This window comes from Homo sapiens, chromosome 3 (genome assembly GCF_000001405.40).
Source record: "Homo sapiens chromosome 3, GRCh38.p14 Primary Assembly".
In the NCBI taxonomy this organism is placed as follows: domain Eukaryota; kingdom Metazoa; phylum Chordata; class Mammalia; order Primates; family Hominidae; genus Homo; species Homo sapiens.
In genome coordinates, this window is record NC_000003.12 from 189,277,815 (window position 1) to 189,297,698 (window position 19,884).

A 19,884-nucleotide genomic window follows, 5' to 3' on the forward strand; every position below is an offset into this window, starting at 1 on the left:
CAGGATGGAAACTGGTGTCTGCTTCAACTTACTCAAAAATGGGGAACTCACTACCTCCTCAGCCAGCATATTCTGTTTTTAAATAAGATATAGCTGTTACAAACTTCTGTTTTTACAAATCTGATTCATCAGTGCTTCTTTTGCCTCTGAAGCCACGTCGAAGCCTATTTCTTTGTATCCATAAGCACCTTTCAGATTTGTGAGCATTACATCATTTCCTTTCTCAGGCTTTGTGTCTGCAGGCTGATCAACCCTCTTTCCAGAGGACTTCCACTCCTATGCAGGATGTTAAAGCCTCTGCCACCATGCTCCTTCCACATGCCCTTTGTTGCTTGATTAGGCTTGGTGGCTTTTCTTTCCACAATATTCTGCCTTTGTAGAGTTAAAATGATGCTTTGACCCCAAGTCTCAGGAGCAGTGAAGGGCCTGGGTAACCTATTGCCTGGGTTATCAGGTGAATCTTCCCAAGGTGAGCATTTGGGCAGTGGTTGCTCGAGTGCCCTGGGTGGAGAGAGAGCAGCAGGGGTCTACAGGTCAGGAGTCTGGATTCTCACAGGCCTGTGTCTTCTAACCCAGTTCCAAGTGCTGGAAGCCGGTGCTGGAAAGCAGATTGCTTTACGTACTGTGAGCAGATTGTGTAACCAGACCCATAATGTCCCTTGTCAGTAATGGGCTAAATGATGCTATGAACAATGCCAATTTCTATCCATCTCTGTAGTCCATATGCTTGTTAAATAAGGTTAAATGTGGCATCATGGAGGAAAAAAGGTACTTAGGACTTAGGAAACCTAAACCTAAATTCTTGTTCTGGCAAGCGTCAAGATCTAACATAGCCTCAGTTTCTTCCATCTGAAAACATCTCCTATGCTTCTGTGTGTCAAGTATTGTGCCAGAGCTCTATAAACTTTGTCTCTCACATTCAAAGCACTGTAATCCAGGTGTCATCACCACCACTTGACAGCCATGTCCTGGAATTTGAAACCAGGTCTGCCTGTGATCTTCTTTTCTCTTCCATCACCCCCTTGCTAAAATGAGGCAGAGGGACTAGAACTCGTATATACCCATGTATAATATGCCATTTCCAGTCCCAAGTACTTATGCTCATATTCCTAAGAAGTGTATATATTGCATACAAGAGCAAAACTCCATAAATGAAACCTGTTAAAATGTATTTGACATCAGAGTTGTTCTAGTGGTGGAGGTAGGCAAACTTTTTCTCTAAAGGACTAGATAGTAAATATCGTAGATTTTATGAACTATACAGTATCTGCTTCAACTGCTAACTCTGATGTTGTAGAGTGAAAGCAACCACAGGCAATATATAAATGAGTGAATACACCTGTGTTCCAATAAATCTTTATTTACAATAACAGGCAATGGGCTTGATTTGGCCAGCAGATCCTAGTTTGCCAACCTTTTCCTGAAGAGAGTGGAGAGTCAGAATAGTGGAGAACAACTCTTGGTGGGCCCTATTCTATCCTGTTCAACTTTCTATGCATGATTCAGTTGAAGGTAGAGATCACAACTGGGAAATCTGCAAATTCCAGGACATCAGGAATGTTCTCTAATATACGTTATGACATAATTGGGGTGCAGAAAGAGGCAAGTATGCCCTAGTGCTTAGGATTATTGTCTTTGGAGTCAGGTGGACCTTCATTCAGATTGTAGCTCTATAATTATCTATTTGGAGAAACTAATTTGTGTAAATTATTCAATCTCTCTAAACCTTATTTTTTCTCATCTGTAAATGGACATAATTTTACCTTTCTCAAGGGTTGTTGTGAGGATTAAATTAGATGATGTATATAAAGTATTTAGAACAATGCTGAACATAGTGAGCCCTCAATGAAAGGTAGTATGAAAAACCTCACTGAATTAAGAACAGAAACAAAGGAAAACACCCAGTTTGGAGGAGAAATGGCATAAACTAATTTATCAGGAAGAGGCAGAATACCCTGACTACTAATTCAGGTTGTTTCTAGACACTCACTATCAACGTATAGATTGTGACTTTGGATGAAACAGTACAGGGAGGTAATTCCTTCTCTAATAAGATGTTTATGAAAAGTTATAGGGGTGTATGAATGAACGGGAAAACTGAATGTAGTCCTTCAGATAGGCAGAAGAGTTAGAGGAAAAGTTAGAATATTTGGTAGATCACGGGTCTTTATCTGGAAAACCTCTGAGCGGGATTGGTAGCCACTTCCCATTATGGTATGGTTGGATAGAATTCCTGCTGTGGAAAATAAGAGGGATTAGTGATATTAGACTATCTCTTTTGTAGCTCAGGGACTTATCTGTTAACATATATCTCATATCAGCACCTGTTGTTTAGCCCTGTTGTAAACAACAGGACTAGCACCATAGTGGTTAGTGAAGAGTGTAGAGTGAAAGCAGCCACGGGCAATATAGAAGTGAATGAATGCACCTGTGGATATACATAAATGAATGGAATAATATATATAAATGAATGGATATATATAAATGAATGGAATAATATATATAAATGAATGGAAGACATTTTAGATGACGAACTAGGACTTACTGAACATTGACTTCTTTCCGTATAGGATAAAATGTTTTTTGTAAGTATGAGTGTCATGAATGAGAGGAGACTCAGTTCATATAACATGTGTATTAATAATAGGAATTGAAAAACTTAGAGCTTTTTTATGCCCCTCTTTCCTACTTTATCTTGTATCTTTCCACTCCTCTAAGCTGCAGCATTGAGACCCATATCTAAAACTTCTCTACATGCACCTAAACAGGACCAATGGAAACCTATGCACATGGAGGCCAACAAGAAGCTTGGGGAAGGTAAAGGGAAGGTGATTGCCATAACAGAAAGAACACAGGACTCGAAGACAGATAGCCTGGGTTAAAGCTGTAACCCTACCATGGCTATTTCTCTTACCTGAGGCAAATTAATTCACCTCTCTGAGTCTTGGATTTGCTCTGTAATATATGAATGATACTATCTGCATCATAGCGTTGTATTAAAGATTAAGGGATATAATACATGTAGCAGACAGTTTTGATTGCCTACCCAACAATCACTTATGCCCTTCCCCCATCCTAAGCAGAACCACTTTTAACTACGTATCTATTCTCCTTCGGGAGACCCATGAGATTCAGGAAAGGTGGTCTGCAGCCCCAGGAGAAGAATGATGGCAAGCTCTCCTACATGTCAGTTAGTGTCTTAGCCATGACTGTATGACCCAATTCAGGCCCAATAACTGACATGTTATAGGACTTGCCATCAACCAAATGCTGTTAAAATGTCTTTACATACATTAACTCATTTAACACACTATAAGGTAGATACTATTATTCATTTCACAAATGAGGAAGCTAACGAATAGAGAGGTTAAGGAACTGCTTCAAGGAAACACAGCTAATAAATGGTAAAGCAAGGTCCACACCTAGGAGTCTGATCCCAGACTATGTGCTCCTAACCACTGAGCAATATCACTTCCCACAAATGTGAAAATCTCCTAGTAAACTTAAGGAAAACATGTTCTTTATTGATTAAAAAAATGGGAAGAAGTCCTACATTGTTGGGTCTGTATGTGAAACTTCGTACACCTTTAGCCATGTTACTACCCTGAGAGGAACTACAGTGAAATGTAGAGGACAGCAAAACAGAAAGATGAAAATATTTTTTGTTTAAAAATGTCATTTATATCCTGAGCCAATCACCCATTGAACTATGTTATCGTGGATGCATATGTGTGTGTGTGCACGTGAGTGTGTATAAGAGATATGGAGACATTTTTTATCCTAATTATATGACATGTAATTTTATAAATATAAAATCATAATATAAGAAGTATTTTTTTCATCTTTCTTAATGTATAAATCCAAGCTAAAGCTATGGTAAGCTTGTTTTCACAAAGATTGAGCACTAGTTGAGTTAGTAAATTTGTCCTCAATGACTTTACCTTTCTGGTTTGACATGTTTTCCATCTCAAGGCACCTACTGACTTCATCATTTCTTCTTTTACTCCAAGGTCTAAACCAGCTCCCAGAAAAGACCTTGAAAGACACCCACAAGAGGATTTTATTTTTATTTTTTATTTTTTTGGAGACAGAGTCTCTCTCTGTCGCCCAGGCTAGAGTGCAGTGGCATGATCTCAGCTCACTGCAACCTCTGCCTCCCAGGCTCAAGCAATTCTCATGCCTCAGCTTCCTGAGTAGCTGGGACTATAGGCACCCACCACCACGCTTGTCTAATTTTTTGTATTTTAGTAGAGACAAGGTTTCACCATGTTGCCCAAGGTGGTCTTGAACTCATGAGCTCAGGCAATCCGCCCGCCTTGGCTGAGGTTTTTAAATATTTGCAAATAGACCGAAAAAGTTTCTTAACCCAGGGCAATGTCAGTAGGCATAATAGTCCTTTCCAAAAAAAAAAAAAAAAAGGCAGCAGCATAGGTAGTGGAATCTTAGGCATCAGTGGATAACATGGTGTTATTTTGGGCAGTGGGTCAGCCAGGTGCTCCATAAGTCATATCTTGTAGGCGTTTGTTCTTTCAGCAAGCCAGGCCAGCTCTGGTTGCTACTTCTACATACTCTTCTAACACCTGTATTTGCCTGAACATGCAGTTCAAAAGACAGAGAGAGTGGGGGAGAGGGTATTAAACGTGTATTTTGTGCCTCATTTTTTGTCCCATTTCCTCTTCCATCTCTCTCCTTTTTGTTAATTCTTTCTTCCTCTCTCCCCCTTTTCTCTCGTTCTCTCTTCTCTCTCTGTCTTCTTCTCTCCCTTTCCTCTATTCCTCTCTCTGCCTTTCTTTCATAACTGCTTTAATAAAATGATATTTTCTGTGTTTTCTACACAATGCCTTGGGCATTTCAAGAAATACCTTTCCCATCTCTCTGTTTTGATTACTCTGAACAAGGATACACAGCTGGCCCCTTTTCTTTTCGCATAAAACCACAATCCACTAAGCAAATCACTGCTTTTCACTCTGCTGGCTGGAGGGAGAAAGGATCAGATACGTGAGATGAGGATGTGGAAGGGGGGATGGGAAGATAATGACAGATTTGATGATAGTTAATATTTTCTGTGTCTGAATAGTGAAAGTCTCATCCAAGTCCCCAGCCAAGCTCAAGTTAAACTCTTAGTGTGTGGGTTTAAGTGCTCTGCAACCTTGCATGCTGGGGCTGGTTTAGATGAAGTGATGCTGTATATGTGGAATTTTGTGGTTCTTTTTTTATTATCATTACCGAGTAAACCATTCATATCTAAAAAGGAAACTTTAAATCAACCCACTCTCAAGGTGAAATAATGTATTGGGTCTGAGTTACGTAGCCCATAATTTAAATTACCAGAGAGTTTATGTATTAATTATTAAAGGTTTTGGAGTTCCTTGACCACTCATTTTCATGCTTACATAAAACCTCAATTATTCGTGCTTCATATTTGTGCCAGTTTTTTAAAGCAGTGGTACATCTCAGATTTGATAGACTGGTAATGGTTTTCATGTCCATTGAAATGACATTCAGCTTCTACCAGAGTTGAGGACTGGAAATGCCTCCTATGTGACTCTCATGTTTTATTCCAGTGTTTCTTTCAAAAAGGCAATGTGTCATCTCTTTTATATCAGTAATAGAAATTAAGAAACAAACAAGATTTTCTCTAATATGATTTGTTGGAAATTTTTGATTCTGTGATATCAGAGTGCTTTAATTTTAATAAATGTGTTTTAAAAGAGAGTAACTGAATACATTTAGGGTTTATTTGCTATGAAATTAACATTTATAGAGGTTCTCTTAAAAATAATATTGGGTGGCTCATGAAAGCCCAGAGAGAAGGTTTTCTGTTGGGGAACGATCAGCAGTGACTGGTCAGTTGTTGATTTCATAAACATTTGTTAAATCTACATGAGGCAAGGGATTATCACCATATCATTTTATTTAATCTTTACGATAATCCGGAAGGTAAACAATTATTTTCTTCCTTTAAAATCAGAAAAACGTGAGGCACGAGGAGACTAAGTTAGTTACTTGTCTAGATCACAGAGCTAGTAACTAGCAGAGCTCTAGAGTCCAAACCTGAGTCTTGTGTTAAATAAATCCAAGATGTGGATACAGGCGTTAGTACTTTAAATTTACTTTGCCATTTTTATGTTATTGAACAGATAAGATGACTGGAGACTTTTCCCTTGGCCTATTACCAGATTGTATGAAAATCAGGGACAGGGCAATGATATTTAACAAAAATGAATGCACCGATGCACCAATATTACAAGGACATGTATCCTCTGTAGTCTCACCCACGTTTCCCAGGTTTGGATAAATGTTTCTCCATTAAAGTTGGGAAGGACATTTTCTGCTTGCATCCCTCCCCGCATTTTTCTTTTCCCTTTTGAATTCCTCACTTTTACTTTTTTTTTTTTTATTATACTTTAAGTTTTGGGGTACATGTGCACAACGTGCAGGTTAGTTACCTATGTATACATGTGCCATGTCGGTGTCCTGCACCCATTAACCTGTCATTTAACATTAGGTATATCTCCTAATGCTATCCCTCCCCCCCCCTCCCCCCACCCCACAACAGGCCCTGGTACGTGATGTTCCCCTTCCTGTGTCCATGTGTTCTCATTGTTCAATTCCCACCTATGAGTGAGAACATGTGGTGTTTGGTTTTTTGTCCTTGCCATAGTTTGCTGAGAATGATGGTTTCCAGCTTCATCTGTGTCCCTACAAAGGACGTGAACTCATCATTTTTTATGGCTGTATAGTATTCCATGGTGTATATGTGCCACATTTTCTTAATCCAGTGTATCATTGTTGGACATTTGGGTTGGTTCCAAGTCTTTGCTATTGTGAATAGTACCGCAATAAACATATGTGTGCATGTGTCTTTATAGCAGCATGTTTCCTATTTAATAAATGGTGTTGGGAAAACTGCCTAGCCATATGTAGAAAGCTGAAACTGGATCCCTTCCTTACACCTTATACAAAAATTAATTCAAGATGGATTCAAGACTTAAATGTTAGACCTAAAACCATAAAAACCCTAGAAGAAAACCTAGACAATACCATTCAGGACATAGGCATGGACAAGGACTTCATGTCTAAAACACCAAAAGCAATGGCAACAAAAGCCAAAATTGACAAATGGGATCTAATTAAACTAAAGAGCTTCTGCACAGCAAAAGAAACTACCATCTGAGTGAACAGGCAACCTACAGAATGGGAGAAAATTTTTGCAATCTACTCATCTGACAAAGGGCTAATATCCAGAATCTACAATGAACTCAAACAAATTTACAAGAAAAAAATCAAACAACCCCATCAACAAGTGGGCGAAGGATATGAACAGCCACTTCTCAAAAGAAGACATTTATGCAGCCAAAAGACACAGAAAAAATGCTCACTTTTTCTTAAAAATGAACTTCATTATTCTTCTACAATACTAGTTAACACACTGTTGGAAAAGAAAGGTGTTATAAGAAGTTTGGGAAAGTGCTTGATGGCCTTCACTTGTGAATGTTTCCTGCCAGGCCTAGGCGAGGAAAGGCGGGCGTAGGCTGCTATGGAGCTCCCCTCAGTGACACTGCACCTGTTCTGTGTGTTTTAGAGATGGAAGGGCCCTTTGAGGACATCTTTTCTGACTTGTTCCATAGAATCACACACATAAAACAAAGTGTTCAGTGCTCCAAGTAAATGAAGGAATACCAGATTGCATAAAGCTAAGTAGATTTCTTACTGATACCTTTCCAGATTATTAGACTAATGTCCATTGTGAATGTCTGAAAGAGCAAAGCGTTTCCTAACATTTTTGATCACAGAGCACTTTCTTCATAGAGCCTTTTTCACATCAATATTACAGACATTGTACATAATTTCTTTCTCAGAGTAATTCTTTAAGGTGGGTAGTAACTCTGTTTTATCTGAGAATCAAAAAGGCTGATTCACTTGCTCGAGGTCCTACAACTCGAATTGTCCAGTTGTATTCAAACTCAAGTCTCCTGACTCCAAAGCCTGTGATTTTCCCCTTAGACGATTCTGCCTTGTACTATCTCCATAGAGACTTCTCTCACTTTCCACACATGCTAGTTTATTTTTTTTTCTGAGTACAATATTTCACTTATATCAGTTTGTAGTAGACACTTTTGAGGGATGTTGTCTCCTGCATGTTAGTCTTGCCTGAGTGAGGTCCCTGCTCTCAAAGATGGAGCTTCAGAAGTCTTGTTCTGACCCTTCTCTTGACTTAATTTGTACAATTTACCTTCAAGCTCACTCTGCTAGAAACATGCTGGCTTCCTTGGTACTTCTTTTAAAATGCCAAAAAAATGCTTCTGGTTTCAGCCTTAAATTTGCTGTCCTCTCTGCTTAGAATGCTATTCCCCAGATACCACATAATCACTCCCTCTTTTTTTTTAGATCTCAGATCAAATGTCACCTTCCCAGAACACTGACCACCCTATGAAAAACAGGAACTTTCCCACTGCATTAGTCTTGTTGCTTTACTCTGTTTTATTTTTTTTATATCATATCCTTCTGCCACATAGTATATATTTGTTCACTTCCTTCCTGTCTCCATGCCAGAAGGTAAGCTGTATGAGAACTGAGATTTGGTTTTGTTCACTGATGCATCCTCTGTGTCTACAACAATGCCAATCCAGAGTAGGAGCTCAACAAATAGTTGTTGAAGGCAATTAAGTGAATGCATGTTTATTTCATATTACCTCCTACTTCCAGGACATAGGGGCAGATATCTCTCTCAAGCAGGATCAATCAGATTCTCCTGCCTATGTATTTGGAATTGGGACTGAGAGATACTAGTCAGGATTTGAGAATTGGGACTGGGAGAAGGATGGGAAAACACATAACCTCAGATTTGTAGGCCAGCCACATGCATATGGAAACAGAGGAATGTCTCTGATCTCTTGTCAAAGAGAGAATAAGGTACAGTTAGTTGCACACAGGAAAGTTCAGACATAGGAAACCATATGACCAGAGACAGAGAGAGATGAAATGACAGCAGGCTTCCTTGGTAGCTTCCTACTTTCTTTTCTTTATCTGTTATGAGGCCAGGCTCCAGTTCTCTGTCAGGTGATGGGAGGCACTCCTGTATCCTTCTAACGAACTCCTCTTTTTCACTTGGGTCAGCTTGGGTGATTTAATTGTAAGGATAATATACAGCTGTTGAGATTAACAGAGGCTTATACAGTTGTTGATGATGAATTTCAGGATTGATGGCTCACGGAGGGCAGCAGGGCCTCACCCTCCTTTTGTCTTTCCATTTTGCTGTCTTTTGCCTGAAGACCCTGACATTCATCATGCTTGTCACCGCATGGTTGCAAGATAGCACTGCACCGTGTAGCCTCACTCTGCATTTCAGACAGGAAGAAAGGGAAAAGAGAGGAGGCAAAGAGCTTTCTCCCAGTGACGCTTTGCCTTTTACAATTGAAGAAAAGATCTTCCTTGGGGAATTCTACTTGTCTCATTGTCCAGACAATGTTGCACGGTCATCTCTAGGCAGAGGAATCAAGTATTTTGGCTTTATAGATTTCTATATGTGGATGGCAAAAGAAAAAAAGGTTGCACACACAGTACCTGTTTCTTTCTTTCTTTCTTTTTTTTTTTTTTTGAGACAGAGTCTTGCTCTGTTGCCCAGGCTGGAGTGCAGTGGCACGATCTCGGCTCACTGCAAGCTCCGCCTCCCAGGTTCATGCCATTCTCCTGCCTCAGCCTCCCGAGTAGCTGGGACTACAGGCGCCCACCACCACACCTGGCTAATTTTTTGTATTTTTAGTAGAGACGGGGTTTCACCCTGTTAGCCAGGATGGTCTCGATCTCCTGACCTCGTGATCTGCCCGCCTCAGCCTCCCAAAGTGCTGGGATTACAGGCGTGAGCCACCATGCCCAGCCTACTTGTTTCTTTAAAGATGCCGAGTTAATATTGCCTAGAGGAATCACTGGATTTTTCTAATGATGCTTAAATACCAGCATTTTCAATAAAAAGGCCATTCTTTCAGCAAAACTCAAATGTGTTTATTTTTTGCCTATTTTCCCCCAATTTTAAGGTGTGATTTTTAATGAAAGAACGTTTTAGGTGGGAATTTGCGAAAAGATTGAGAATTGAGTTCATAATGATGAAATGACTTTATCACCCAACTTTAAAATTGTGAGAATTTTAATTTTTAAATTAAAAAAATTTAAGTTAATAAAATTTAAATTTAAAAAATTTAAATTTTTAACACAAAGTTTATGTCTGAGACAGTGAGAGAGAAAAGAGAGAGACAGAGGAAAAAGAGAGAGGAGAGAAAATTATGTGTGTATATGGTTGTGTGTGTGTGGTTGTGTGTGTATACACAACCAAAATTTAGCTAAATAATAAAACTAGTTTTCAAAATGTTTAGATTCAGATCAATAATGTAGTTGCTTCACTTTTTAAAAAATGAATAACATTGTATGTAAAAAAAAGATGCTGCTATTTGTGATAAACTAATATAACAAAGTCTATATAAACTTTAGGATTTTTTTCTGCAACGTGTAGTGAGATTGTTGTGAGAAGTAAAAACAAAACTTCAAAGGCCAATGTACATTGCAGGAGAAGAGGAATGAATATTATAGCACATAGGATGACTAAGAAAAGCTATATATTAATACTATTCACCATCTAATTTTGGGATGATATGCTTGTTTTTTAAAGGTGCAAACCTGATCAATATCCTGATCATAAACCAGTAACTGAAGCATATTCAGCTTTGTAAATGACCTTGGGGCCTTTGCATTCTATCTCTTCTTAACTCCAGCTAACCTTTGATTCCGCTTTCCAATGTCCCCTTTTGCTTTTCTTTCCTCTTCCCACCTCAGTGGGGTCAAAGGCTTCTCACCTCTAAGCCTAACTCTGGGCAAACAGTATCATTCTGAGCTAAGTCGCAGTTTCAAAACTTTAAATAGACTTCATTATGATGCATAAGCAAATTAACCTTTGTAAGGGCAGCTTGCTGCAAGGAAGAAAGAAATTACTCAGCTGTTACTGCATCTATCGCAAACCACTGATTTGTGCCTAATAATGTGAGTTTTGAAAATAATCAGCATAAGATGGTCTTGCAAGATTCCAGCTTGTTATGAGGTAACCGAGTTTATGGGTGCCTGTATCTGTACGTGAGCCTTTCCTCCCCAAAAGCATTTATGGAAAATTTTATAATCATGTGTCACTCACCGATGTACTGTGTATTAGAGGGTAAGTCTAAGAGAGTAAAAACCTGGGCTGAAAAAAGCTGATTGGACCTTTAGCTTGTCTGATTGCTGAGTGATGGGAAACACACTGCACCTGCACTTCTTCCCCGTGGCTGTCTCCACCTGTATACCCCACAGGCATCTCAGACTCATCATCTTTCCCCTATATCTTGCTTCCTTAAAAACCTGCTTCTCTTCTGTAGGTCTTTATTTATGAGGATGGCCTCATTATCTTCCCAATTATGCAGGCTTAAAAAATCAGTCATTTTTCACTTCTTTCTCCCCCCGACCCCAAATCCAATCAGGTTGTCAAATTCAATCAAGTCAATCTTTGCCACATTTCTCAAACCTAACTCTTTCTGTTCCTACTGTCATGATCTTACTTTGGGTGTTTTTTTTTTTTTCTCTTGCTTCAATGATTTTGATGTTTTCCTGACTGTGATTCTATGTAGTGGTTAAGAGCTGAGATTCTGGAGACCTGCTGCCCCTGCTTAAGTTCAGGTTGAATCACTTGTTGACTACGTAGTCTTTGAAATGTCATTTAAATTATCTTTCTTTTGGTTTCTTCACCTGTAAAATGGGGATGATGATAGTTTTTACTCAGAAAATTGTGAGAATTAATTGAGACTACTTCTTTAACGTGCCTAATACAGCAGCACTAGGTAAATATTAAGTACTATGAGATTATTGTATCACCCTTTCAGTCTTACCAGTCTTTCAATCTATTCAACTTAAATCTATCAGATTACCTTATTAAAATACCATGCTGATCAACCTATATCTTTGCTCAGATTTTTGCCCACGATGCTCTATTATCTACTTATGCTTTATAAATGGGATTACAGAAAATCTCAGGTAACAGAGTTGTTATAGCTACTACAAGAAGCCACAGGATAAACATGCCATATCTACCTGAAGCCTAAATTTAATCAATTAAATGGTGTACATTTTCAGATATTGCTTTTATGTTAAAATCAACCAATGTAAATGAAATGCAATAGGAAACATAATTATATGGTTTTAATGATAAAACAATTGCAAATAAATTTTGTGTTTATGGCAAGTGGTCATGGCTCTATGGCAGTGGGGGTGTTCTACTGGCAAAATATGAGAAGCAGTAATGTGCAGCTTCATAGCCTGACTTATAAGAACTTTGCATTATGGTCCTAATCTACTTTTCTATTCTATCTATTTCTAGATTTCACTTATATAAATCATGACCTTGCCAAATCAGACACGTTGATTTTTCCCATATATGTCCCATCCTTCCTCTGCCAGTTAATTAACTTACATGGTTCCCTCCTTTTACCTGTTCTAAACCACTTAACACCTCCTCCCAACACTCACACACTCATGTCTACATTCATCCATGTCTTAAAGCCCACATTTCAGCGATGAATCGATAGAGTGTGATAAAGTAAAGAGAAATATGGAAGATGACTTGATGATATCTTTCGTTGAGCACATTAACATAGAAAGCTTTGTCTTAACCCCTGTTAGGAATAAATAGAACAAACAGATACGTTTTCCATCGATGAAATCAGCAATTAAGTGGCAGCTTTTATTAAGAGGCTACTGGTTTTCTTTGAAAGGAATAACATTTTATGAAGGAAAAAGTCTCTGAATGTTTCCAGGGCAGAGAAGTTTGGCCAGGTTTTACTGTGGACTATTGCAGGTGTAGAAGAAGACGTTTAGGAGAGGCCATTTTGAAAAAGCTTTGCAGATGTGTTTTGAATGATGCAGGCTGAGACCCTCTCATAATAGTGAGTACAAGTGCTGATGTTGGGGAGTTAGTTGAAAAGTTAACAGGATGGGAAAGTTTTCTAAGATTGTGTGACTGAATCCTGAGACAGCTGTAGTTTAGTTGAAAAATCTTTAGTGGCCCATTTCTTTTTGTTGTTGTTGTTGAGACGGAGTCTTGCTCTGTCACCCAGGCTGGAGTGCAGTGGCCCGATCTCCACTCACTGCAAGCTCCGCCTCCGGGTTCACGCCATTCTCCTGCCTCAGCCTCCCGAGTAGCTGGGACTACAGGGGCCCACCACCACACCTGGCTAATTTTTTTTATTTTTAGTAGAGACGGGGTTTCACCATGTTAGCCAGGATGGTCTCGATCTCCTGACCTCGTGATCCGCCTGCCTCAGCCTCCCAAAGTGCTGAGATTACAGGGGTGAGCCACCGCACCCAGCCGGTAGACCCATTTCTAAACCTAGGTCTGGCTTCAACAAATTATGGGACCTTAGGGAAATTGTCTTTCTGAATCATAGTTTCACCCATCCAACCAAACAGAAATAATAATGGGGATATGAGGACCAAATGAGGTGATCTGTTTGTATGTAAAAATACTTTGTATATTTTAATGGAGTCTCTTTTATCTCTGAAATGGAGATAATAATATAGCTCTTCATAGGGTGATTCTGAGGATTAAATGAGAAAGCCATGCAGTACATTTACAAGGTGTTTGAAACTATGGTGCCAAAGAGAATAAGTATTAGCCATCATTATTATCATCACTGTTACTATTTATGTGTCACACCAATGAATGGATATGATACTATTATGGTAGCATTTTGGTTTTAGTTTTCACACTAATTTTTGATTTAGGGGACTAAAGAAGTAGTATTGTTATGCTTTTAACCCCACGACAATTCTTAATCTGAGAAGCCAAGTCCCTGTTTTAGTGATCTTGCCAACTATGTTTTATTTGCATAGTGCTTTGTTTACTGCAAAGAGCTTTGACAAATATATATCTCATTAGCTCCTGAAAACAACCCTGATCATTAAGCAGGGCAACACTGACACACCAATTGGGAGATGAACAAACTGAAGCTGGGAGCATTGTGTTTTGGCCAGAGTCACATAGAAAGTTGGTGATGGTTACAGTGGGCTCCTCTGGCTGCTACTGCAGAGACATCCCAGAGCTCTGGGTAGGCTTCTACTTATCAATGGCTGACATTTCAGGTGAGCTCCGGGAGGACAGGTACTAAAACACAAATGTCTTCTAATTCTCCAGATGCCAAGCAGCATTCAAGCACATAGTAGGATTTGAAAACTACTTTTCGAATTCCCTTTTTAAACAATTTGAAAACATCTTCTGTGTTATTTCTTGATGATTCTAAATATAGCAATAAGATGTAATCTGTTTTAAAACTTTTTTGCAGCATCAGTGTAGGGACTCTAAAAAAGGCAGTTAAAACTTCTGCAGTTGCAGAATTTACACAGAATAGTCACAGTGATTATTTCTGGGTGGTGGGACTCAATGTAATTTTCTGAAGTTTTTGCTTTTTTTTTTTTTTTTGCTTATCTGTACTTTCTACCTGTTTTTTTTCCCTCCCATTAAATTTTATGTAAAAATAGTAATTACATTAGGTTATCAACAGTACCACCCTTTGGAGCTAGTGAGTGTGTTTTCCACATACTATTTTGGTGACCTTGAACAACTGCTTTGTCTCTCTGTTTTCAGTTTCCCTGTCTATGAAATGGAATAATAATAATAACACACAGCTAATAGGGCTGTGGGGAGATTAACAGAAATAACAGAAGGATCCTGGCATGTGATAGGTGCTCAATTAATATATGGCTACCACCACTCTTACCTCTTCTTCCCTACTCTTCAAACTTATAGTAATTTGGGGCTAGAGAACAATTTCAGGGGTGGCTTTAACTTCTTTATGGAATAAACCATACACACTTGCAGAAAACAACTGAGCAAAAGCTTTAAGGTGACAAGTTATCATAAATCTCAGTTCTTTCCCACACATCCCTTAGTGACTGGCTCTTACAAGATTTTGTTATTAAATACTACCTGGCAACGAGCAGAGATGGCTGGCCAGATTATCCCACAAGGAAGGCTAGGAAGCATTGTTTAGAAAGGTGTCCTTGGAGGTAAGGGGATGGATGAGAGGGGCCTCTGCAGGGTGTATTGGGCTGCTTTCTGAGACAGGCCAAAATTCAGGCATTCTGGGGTCCCACATGTGCTTGTTTTGGCCCTTGTTTGGATCACTCTGCTTAATAGGAACCGGCAACCTCCGTTTCAGAGCTTGGGCTCAGTTTAGACAGCTGTCTAATTGGTTTATGTCATTCATTAGGCATTTCTTTTCTTTAAAGTTGGCAACTTGATGCCAGATTATGGGGAGAGATTCCGTACCACCCATGTCTGTTTTGTTGTTCCCCAGGTTATAAATGAGATGATGTGGAGGCTCCTCTGGCAGTGTCCTTAGCTTGGCTCCCAATTTCAACATTGTTAGAGTCCTGCTGTGTTTGGACTGGAGGCTCTCCCCTCCCACTTCCGCTGTCACACACCAGGAACTATGCTGGTGCAATGTGCCTGCAGGGCTAGCCACTTTCTTCTTTCCTCCTGCACTGAAAACTGAGGGTTTCCTGATCTGGGACCTGGATAACTAAAGGCTCTCTCACCCCTGAAAAGGGATTGCCAGAGGGAAGATGGGGAAAGGTGTGGCGGGAAAGGGAGCAAAAGGTGCCAAGGATAGGTTTCCTACCCCACAGATTCCTGCAGCTCAGCAGGCTCAGGAATAGTCTCATTTCCCCTCCCACCAAACTTGCACTGACTGTTCTGGTTAAGGGCATCAGTGTCTTCTCACTCATCAAGGATGAAAACCTCAGGACCACAAAATAGAAAGGGACATGGTGCAATTTTTCAAAGATATTTCCATCTAAAGATTAAGATTCTATTATCTTTGACTCACAAGTCTGTCTCCTCCTTTTTATTCTCTTTGTCACTTCCCTGTTTCAGGTCCTCACAGTTCCTCCACTCACAGGCTCCTAACTGTTCTCCCTTGCTTTTACTCTCCAAAATCCATCTTGTCTGTCAAGTTCCGACCATTTAATCGTCACAAGTCAAAGCCACGGCCCAGTTCATATCTCTTCCCTTATTAAAAGCTTGCCTCAGTCTGCAATTGTTTGCAAGATAAACTCCTGAGCCTAGTTTCCAATATCTTCTACTACCTGTCTGCAATCTATCTGTCCAACCTTTTGGCCTGTTTCCCTATGAACACTAAGTTTGAGCTACACTGGAACATTCAACACGTACCTTTTCTTCTGTGTATACTGTATGAAGGGCTAAGAAAAAAGCATAGTTGGGTATACAAAACATGTGAATGTCTCATTAGCTTACTTTTCTCACCAGATGGTTATGCCCATAGGAAACTGACTGGTGATTTTGAAAATTGAAGTTTAAATTTCTGGAGAATGATAAAAGGGAAGAGATCAGGAATCAAGTACTTAGATACCATGTCACCTCTGCAGTGATATGGAAGATCCTATGGGGAAGTGGGGGAGGAAAAGCCAGTTCTTTCTTGGAGCCAATTCCAAATTATATAATAACCAGATTTATGGCATAATATTGCCATATAAATCATATATAATGGATTAATTTGTGCTCGGGGCCCACTTTGCTTGTTGAGTGAAAGAAAATGAGCAAAGGTTGAACTGGAATGATCAATTAACTTTACTGAAACACTCATTAGTCTACAAGATTTCTGTGGGAGGCTTACCTGTAAAAAAATGCTACCAGCTCCCCAGCTCCACTGTGTCCCCTTTAGAGAGGTGGTAAGTGGGGTGTGTATCGCAGGGGGAAATACACAGGTCTTGTTTCAAATAGACCAAAGACAATACTTCAGCAATTTGAAATAGGTTCTTTGAACATTAATTTCCTCATAAATATAGCAAATATTATCTATAAGATTTCTATAATATTTGAAGACAATGAATATGAAGATGTGTAGACCATGTTCCCTTTTCTGTGTCACCTTTAATTACACAACCCTTACAGTTACACACACACACACACACACACACAGCGCGCAAGCAGGAAGAAACTGGTTAATTTTTTTTTTATTACACTTTAAGTTCTAGGGTGCATGTGCACAATGCGCAGGTTTGTTACATATGTATACATGTGCCATGTTGGTGTGCTGCACCCATTAACTCCTCATTTACATAAGCTTTAGGACAATGCTAATTATTTACCTCACCTACGGTGAGAAGTAGAAAAACTCCAACACTTTCCCACATTCACGCCTTTGTTTTATGTGCTTCTATGTGGAATAATCTTTCTCCAATCTTTGAATGACCATTTCTCATTATACTTTTTCATGCCCTGGTTAAATCGCCACTTCTTCCAAAATTGACTTATCCTCAAATCAGATGTGGAATCTGCCCTCTGTAATGAAAGCTTCTCCCCTCAGTTTTCTCCTGTCTTTCTTAGAACCCGTATCTTTCCTAGTAGACTGTGAGCAACCTGAATGCAGAGGCATTTCCTTGTTCGTCTTTGATCAACAATGCCAAGGCTGTGTTGTGAACACAGTTCAGCTCAGTACACATTTGTGGAATGAATAATATTGTTGCTAAGTTAGAGTTCAGTATTTACATCTTTTAAACTACATTATCTCTGTGGCTTTAAATTAGATTCATTTTGTTTAGTATTCATTAGTTAACATAAACTCTATTGGGTACTACTCAGATTGCAAAAAAAAAAAAAAAAAAAAAAAAAAAGGCCTTGGTCTCTTTGACCCTTAAATTATTATGAAGGAGTCGCTTTAATATTCAGAGACTCATTTCTTCTCTGCTCTCTGTAGAAATGTGTGGGGATATGGTAGTGGAAAGCTTCATTGATATCCCAAGCATCTTTAGGGGATTGTGTGTACGTGCACATTTTCATTTAAATGATTGGAAGTTCTCAAGGGCGCGTGATGTTTTACTAGACATAATGCAGGATTAATTAAAGACCGTGCTCAAACTTTGTCTTTCTGGCTCTTACAGTATTTTGGATAATGCTTACAATGCAAATAGAATTAATTAGCCACATAGTGAAACGTTTTGCCACATCCTAATTATGTTGTGGGGAAAGATGATTTACTTAGTTTCATTTTAAAATGATGCTTTAAAAAAAAAAAAAAAAAAACATTTAGACTGTTTCTTAAGCCTTGACCAGGATAGGAGTTTGCGTTTTTGTTTCTTGGTTTGTTGACCCGTTTGGGGCTTTATCTCCCTTAATTCAAGAACTGTTTCTAAAACGGAGGTACACTTCATGATGAGTTGGTAAGTCAATGCTGGTCTTACCAGGACAGAACAAACTCAATTTATTTTGCTTTTGCCTTGAGCATTTAGCCTAAATAAGTCATCAGGAGAGTTTGTTCTCTGCCTCACAATTTCTGATCAAAATCTTCTTTGTGAAAGATCAGGTGCCAAAGATGGAATTTAACTGTGAGCTGTATTTTCCATGCCTAATTTCTTCAAAAGTTAATTTGAAAAACCAACTCTTCACAATGTAGTTTAGCAGAAGCAGGTATGAAAAAGCTTAGAAATTAGAAATTATATTTGATGGTGAATTTCAGGTGAGTCAGCAATGTGGTAAATCACCAACACAGCTAATGTTGCTGTTGGCTAAATTGCAAATATACAGACGATTACAATTATATAAGGATATATATACAATTATACACAGACATACACAATTATGTGTAGATCTGTATATCTGTATACGGATGAACAGAAGGAGGGTGTTTCATGGCATATTCCATAGTGATTGGATCACTGTTGTAGTATTGTTTCCTTTTTATGGCCACATACTTTAATAAGGACATTGGAAAACTAGAAATAAGGACATTGGAAAACTAGAACATGTTCAGAAGAAGGCGAAGCAATTGGCTGGTGAAGCAACTTTGACCTTGTCAAAAGAGGAGTGGTTGAAGAAATAGGTGTCTGTTGTAGTTGCTATTGCTTTTTAAAATAAATAAATGGAGAGTGACAGGGAGATTATATGATAAAAGTGTTGTATCACTGTAAACATTTGAATAATCTTCAAACAAACCTTATACTAGTCTGTTTCCTTGATAAAAATATTTTTTGAAGACTTAAGTATTATAACTCCACTAAATGATAGAAACAGTGTCTGAATTGCAGCCTTTGGGTGCCTTTCATCACAATTCACTGATAAACCCTCTTCTTCTTCTTCTTCTTTTTTTCTGAAACAGGATTTTACTCCCATAACCCAGGCAGAAGTACAGTGGTGTCATCTCAGCTCACTGCAACCTCTGCCTCTTGGGTTCAAGTGATTCTGCCACCTCAGCCTCACGAGTAGCTGGGACTACAGGCACGCGCCACCAAGCCCGGCTGATTTTTATATTTTTAGTAGAGACAGGGTTTCACTATGTTGGCCAAGCTGGTCTCGAACTCCTGACCTCAAGTGATCTGCCTGCCTCATCATCCCAAAGTGCTGGGATTACAGGCATGAGCCACCATGCCCGGCCACTGATAAACCCTCTTCTGCTTAGATTCCTGTCTTGCAATCAGGTAAAAATGACCATGCCTTTCACTTCTCATTCAATACCCATGCCCTAGGTGCATAGTTTAGATGACCCTTCTTTTGATCCCTTTCTAGCTGTGCCCATCCCCGCGGCCTGAGGAGCCCTCAGGGCCAAGGATATTTGCCAATCCAGATCCCATACTGCTCCTCCCACTCCCTCTGACTACTTGTTCTTAGGTGGGGTTAGGATCACCTGGGAGCTCATTAGATGTACAGAGTCCAGAATTTCAGGCCCACTCCAGACCAGCTGGATCAGATTCTGGATTTTAAGAAAACCCCAGGTGATTCAGATGCTCATTAGAGTTTCTCAAGCATTGTTCTAAACCACGCTCTGAGTGTCTGAAAACCTAAAACTTTTTACC

At 39.2% G+C, this 19,884-nt stretch overlaps 1 protein-coding gene across 22 annotated transcripts in view, besides 1 other annotated feature; it reads left to right on the plus strand.

The window, feature by feature from the left end:
- The window catches only part of TPRG1 (tumor protein p63 regulated 1), a 328,078-nt gene that overhangs the window by 280,588 nt on the left and 27,606 nt on the right, over positions 1–19,884 (plus strand). The gene's annotated exons all lie outside the window — the stretch shown is intronic.
- Positions 8,459–8,508: an enhancer, noted in NCBI's record as "active region_20978". NCBI's record gives its function as "activates an Ori minimal core promoter by ATAC-STARR-seq in GM12878 lymphoblastoid cells {active_cell/tissue: GM12878}" and the evidence as "EXISTENCE:reporter gene assay evidence [ECO:0000049][PMID:35858748]".